A 6,528-nucleotide genomic window follows, 5' to 3' on the forward strand; every position below is an offset into this window, starting at 1 on the left:
GGAGAATCGCTTGAATAAAGATGGCGCAGGTTGCAGTGAGCTGAGATAGTGCCACTGCACTCCAGCCTGGGAGACAGAGCAAGACTCCATCTCAAAAAAAAAAAAAAAAAAAAGTATTACATTTACAACAGCATTATAAAAATTAAAAATAAGCTTAACCAAAAGGGCAAAAGATTTGAACACAGAAAACTACAAAACACTGTTGAAAGAAATTAAACACAAATAAATGAAAAGAAAAGCTGGGTTTGCAGATTAGATGATTTCATCTTGGAATGATGTCAACACTACTCGAAGTGACCTAGATTCAATACAATCCTTATAAAGATTCCAATGACATTTTTGATAAACAGAAAAACCTATCCTAAAATTCATATGGAATCGCCAGGGCCCATGAATAGGCAAATCAATCTTGAAGCAGAACAAAATTAAAGGTCTCAAAACAATTACATAACTGCAATAAGCCAAAAAAAATGTGGTCATGGCATAAGACATACTTGACACACTTATGGACCAACACAACAGAGACCTCAGAAACCAACCCTGGCATATATGGTCTGATGATCTTCCACAAGGATGCCAAGACCACTTAATGGCGAAGGACAGTTTCTTCAACAAATGGTGTTGGGAAAATTGTATATCTACATGCAAAACAATGAAGTTGGACTCTTACCTTACACCACGTTAAAATTAATTCAAAGTGAATTATAAACCTAAATGTAAAACTAGAACTATCAAACTCCTAGGGAAAACAAATTTGGAAAATGCTTTATGACGATGAATTTGTCAATAATTTTTAGGATATGACATTAAAAGCTCAGGCAGTAAAAGCAAAAATATATCAAACCTAAAAACTTCTGTACCACAAAGGTCACAACCAACAGGGTAAAAGGCAAACTGTAGAATAAAAGAAAATACCAGTTGAGTGTCCCTTATTTGAAATGCTTGGGATGTATTTCAGATTTTGTAATATTTGCATTATTCTTACTGGTTGAGCATCTCGAATTCAAACACCTGAGTCTGCGATGCTCCAATAAGCATTTCCTTTGAGTGTCATGTTGGCACTCAAAAAGTTTCAGACTTTGGAGCATTTCGGATTTCAGATTTTTGGATCAGAGACATTCAACCTATAGTTGCACATCATGTATCTCATAAGTGAACATTCAGAATACGTAAAGTACTCCTACAGAGAGACTACCAGAAGCAGAGAGGAGCAAACACATTTTCACACTAGGGCACCTCCTATCTCTCCTGGATTCCAATTAGGGCAGAGTAAGTGCTAGTTCTCTGCCAACCCAGGATTAGGCCCTGGAGCTGCAGTGAAAATAATCACAGACGAAAACTAAGAAATAAAAAATGGAGAAAGTGAGACATCAAACTAAAATTACTAGAAACCCTCAGGAAGAAGGAAAAAGAAACCAAGAAAACAGAAAAACAATTAAACCAGTTAATTAAACCTTGGCATGACCAGAAGATCAGAGTTTCCTAAAGGAGTGGAAATTTATTGATTTGAAGAGGATTTATTGATTACTGATATGAAGAGGAAGAAAAACCATGAATGGTCTAAAGCAAAAGCCTAGTGTCTGAAGAAGTCAATAGGGTGAAAACAAGAGCTGGCCAGAATATCCACAGATGGTGATAAGTTGGCAAAGCCTTTACTAGACTACTCGTGAGGCTAACTAGAGGCCAAGGAGCCAACACTGCCCCTGTCCTTACAGAGAGACCCTACACAGGATTCCCAGATATACATGGAAGGACAACATCTTATCAGGTCCTCTCTGTGCAGATGTGGTTATCATTCCAAATAATGAGCTCCAGCCCCAAGACTGTTCCATCCTCAATTGCTTTGAGTGGGCAATATAGGCTCTCCACACACGAGCTACATGTAGGTTCCTTGGGTACCCAGATGGGAGCCATGAAACACAAACCCTCCATGGTCAGGTCTGTATTTGTTTCCTGCCTTTTTCCCAGCAATCCCCAGGCACCAGCAGCGGTGGTCTACCTCTGCTGATTCTCAGTCAGAATCTAAACTTAGAAACAATTATAACCTAGACCCCAATTCTACCTGAAAGTAACAGAATAACATAATCTATACCCTGCAGCATGACTGTTTGCCCAACGTAATGAGGATGAACTGAGAGATAATGAATCATCATGACCCTGGCCCAAGTAATGAGAATGAACTGTGAGATAAATGAATGATCATGACAAAAAACCCCGCTACAACCCAACAACAAAATAAAGTGATTAAAAAATGGACAAACAACATTTATCCAAAGATGCAAAGATGATATACAATAGCCAAAAGATACATGAGATATATGAGAAGATGTGTAACATCACTAGTCATTAGAGAAATGCAAAAAGAAACCACAATGGGACATCACTTCAAACCCAACAGAAAGTAACAAGCGCAGGTGAAACTGAAACCCTTGAATACTGTTGGTGGAAATATGAACTGGCTCCTCAAAAAAAATAAAATAAAATGACCATATGATCCAGCCATCCAACTACTACAGAGACAGAATAACTAGTAGCAGGACCTCAAACAGATATGTGCACACCTAAGTTCACAGCAGCATTACACAGCCACAAGGTGGAAAAAACCAAAACGTCCATCCAGGAATAGGTGGATAAACAAAAGCATATATATATATGATATATATTATATATATATAATATATATAATGTATGTATATAATATATATGTAATATATATATAATATATATATGAAGAAATATTATTCAGCCATAGAAAGGAAGAAAATCGTGACACATCTGACACATAACATGGAACCTACTTACAAAACAACAAATATTATATAACCCTAGGTATATAAGCCAAATTTTTAGAAACACAAAGTAGAATAGTACTTGCCAGGAGGTGGAAGGAGGGGGAAATTAATAGTTGTTGAATGGGTATAGAGTTTTCCAAGATAAAAAAAAATCTAGAAATCTGCTACACAACACCGTAAATATTCTTAACTCTACAAAACTGTATACTTACAACTGGTTATGACGGTAAATTTTAAGGTATGTGTTTGTTACCAAAATCCTAAATAATAAATTATTTCTAAAAAATGATCTTTTTTGACACAGGGTCTTACTCTGTTGCCCTGGCAGGAGTGCAATGGCATGATCACAGCTCATTGCAGCCTCAACCTCCCAGGCTCAAGCAACCCTCCCACCTCAGCCTCCCGAATAGTTGGGACTACAGGGGCACACCAAGATGTCAGGCTAAATTTTGATTTGGTTTTTTTGTAGAGAGGGTTTTGCCATGATGCCCAGACTGGTCTCAAACTCCTGGGCTCAAGCAGTCCACCTCCCTTGGCCTCCCACAGAGCTGAGATTATGAGCATAAGCCACCATGCCCAGCCTATAAAAAATTATTTCAAAAAGCCAAAATATTAATCAAACTGGAATATTTAGAAATATTTAACCCAAAAGAAGTTAGGAAAAAATATATAGAAGATCAAAACACAGACGAAGGCCAGACATGGTGGCTCATGCCTGTAATCCGAACACTTTGGGAGGCCAAGGTGGGTAGATTGCTTGAGCTCAGGAGTTCAAGACCAGCCTGTGCAACATGGCAAAACCCTATCTCTACAAAAAATATAAAAATTAGTCAGGTGTGTTTCTATGCGCCTGTAGTCCCAGCTACTCAGTGGGCTCAAGTGAGGATTGGTTGGGCCTGGGAGGCAGAGGTTGCAGTGAGCCAACATTGCACCATTGCACTACAGTCTCGGTGACAGAGCAAGACCCTGTCTTAAAAAAAAAAAAAACAAACAAATAGAAAATAAGTAGAAAAATGGCAGACCTAAATCCAACCTTAGCAATGATTAGTTACAATGTAACTTGACAAATACTCTACTTAAGAAAGAGACTGCCAGACCTGAGAGGAAAGCAAGACCCAACAATATGGCTTCCACAGAGACACAATTTAAATACAAAGACACAAAGTATGAGAAAAAATATGCTATGCAGACACTAATAATAAAAATATGCTATCCAGACACTAATCATAAAAAGCTTCAAAGGAGACGTTAACACTAGATGAAAGAGGCTCCAGAACAAAATATATCACCAGAAATAAACAAAGTAATTTCATAAAAATAAAAGAATCAGAGAGGATGATGTTACAATTATAAATTGTGCCTCAAAGTGCACACAAAGTACACACACACACAGAGTCTCAAATTATGTGAATCAAAAACACAGAACAAAAGCAGGAAATTGACAATCCAAAATTATAGCTGGTGAATTTATACTGCTCTCTCAGTAACTGATGGAACAACCAGTTAAAGATATAGGAAAAATACGGATCTAAATGACACAATCCGGACCCAAAGGGTACTTGGCAGTACCAAGATAGACTGTATGTCGATCAATTGAGAAAATGTTCAAGCATGAAATAGTATACAAAGTATGTTGCCTGAACACCTGAAATTAAATTAGAAACCAACAACAAATTGATATCCAGAAAAGCCTCAAATGTCTGAAAACCAAGTAATAAACTTTGAAATACCCTGTGAGTCAAAAAAGTATTCACAAGGGGAACTGGAATGTATTTGGAACAAACTTGTTATAAAAATCATATTTCTGGTAGACTAAAGGTGACAACTTCTTTCCTGCTCCTCTCTCTGTGAGAACCAATTCCCCTTAAACCTTGTCCAGACTACTGACTTGCTTGGCCAACAAAAGGTGACAAAGGTGGTATTTGGGGACTTCAGAAGCCAGGCTGAGAAAACAGAACACTTATCCAGGAGAAAGCCAGTCACCAAGCAGGAAATCCCACTCCCCTGAGACCCCATGATGGAAACCACACGGGCAGTCCATGACTAGCTACACGCATTGACATCCCCCACTGACCCTCCAGCAACACCGACTCCCAACCACTAGTGAGCCTTCAGCAACATCCACTCCCTACCACTAGTGAGCCACCCTGCACACCACCCCACTGTGCTTTCACACAATCCAGCTTGGCTGCAACTGTGTGTGAGATGAGCTGGCCACCAAGACTCTCTAAGCCAAAAAACAAGTAATAGTGAGTTGTTTTAAGCTGCCAAGTTTTGGGGATGGTTTCTTCAGAATAGATAACTGGAACAGAATATGGTAGCTGGAAATGAGCCGCTGTGGTAATCAGAAGTTACAATATGTGCCACGACTGTGAGGCTGACCTGTAACTGGGCCTCAAGGAGACCATTCATGCAACCTGGAAGGGCATCAAGACTCTTGGTCAGGGCCTGAAGGACGGTGAGAAAATGTCATTGGAAACTGGGGAAAAGGCCTGAGAGTTATGTGCTGAGGGACTGTGAGAAAACTATGGCCACAACATGGAAACTGAAAGGGCACTGCACCATCTCAGGGGTCTGCCTAAGGAGACATCTGGGAAGAACATGGAAAGTGCTACCAGCCTCCCCTAACTGTCACTGAATAAATATGACAGGAGAGGGACATGATCTAAAGAAGGAAGTTCAGTTTTCAAACAAAATTTAGAGAAAATAAAAAGAAATAATTTCTTGTCTCAAAAGGCCAAAGGAAAAAAAAAAAGAAAAGGAAAAAAAACTAAAAAGAAGCCATTGAATACCCTATTGACCATAAGAAAAAGGCAGAGAAAGTTGGTCAACGGCAACCCAGGCACTGAAGGAAAAAGAACATGGAGAATGACAAAAGCCGAGAGGGAGGAGTAAAAGGACACAAACGCCGTTCTCAGGGACAAGGACTAGGCGCCGTTCTCAGGGACCTGGACTGGGCACTAATCACAGAACTGTAACAGGCGCCCCATGGGAATGACCAACTGTTAGATGGGGCCTGCAGGGCAGCACCTCCCTCCTGCCTCCCACCAACAGCTTCTAAACGGAAATGCTGACTGTTTTCACACCAGTCCCCTCACTGTGGCTGAGTGTGTGGGCACAGATGATAGGTCACAAAAACCTGATTCAGTCCTCACTGTGGCTGAATGTGTCAGGGGCAGACGACAGGCCACCACAACCTGATTCAGTCCTCACTGTGGCTGTGTGTGTGGGGGCAGATGACAGGCCACCACAACTTGATTCAGTCCTCACTGCGGCTGAGTGTGTGTGGGTGCAGGTGACAGGCCACCACAACCTGATTCAGGATTCAGTTGGGCTACCAGCCAGTGCCATAAGGAAAACCATTCTGGGACTCTTGAGAGGGGCAAAGAATAATTTGCATGTGGGAGAAGCGTTAATAGTTTGTGGCCAGAGGACAAGCTGTGGCTTATTAAAGACTGCTGCAGGTTCCTACTATGCTTCTCATCAAGAGGTGGAATCTAATCACCTTTCCCCCTTGAATCATGGCTGGTCTCAGTGATGAGTACGACTGGACAGTGTGGCAGCAGAGATGCTCTGGGACTTCTGAGGGATGATCATGAGAGACCTTACAGCTTCTGCCTGGGCCTCGTGGACACACACCCTGGGAGAAGTCAGACAAACCTGACTACCTGACACTGCCAGACTGGGAGGAAGTCCGTGCTGGCCACAAAGAGAGGGCTCGGTGCCTGCTCCATGT

This window comes from Homo sapiens, chromosome Y, assembly GCF_000001405.40.
Source record: "Homo sapiens chromosome Y, GRCh38.p14 Primary Assembly".
Taxonomy (NCBI): domain Eukaryota; kingdom Metazoa; phylum Chordata; class Mammalia; order Primates; family Hominidae; genus Homo; species Homo sapiens.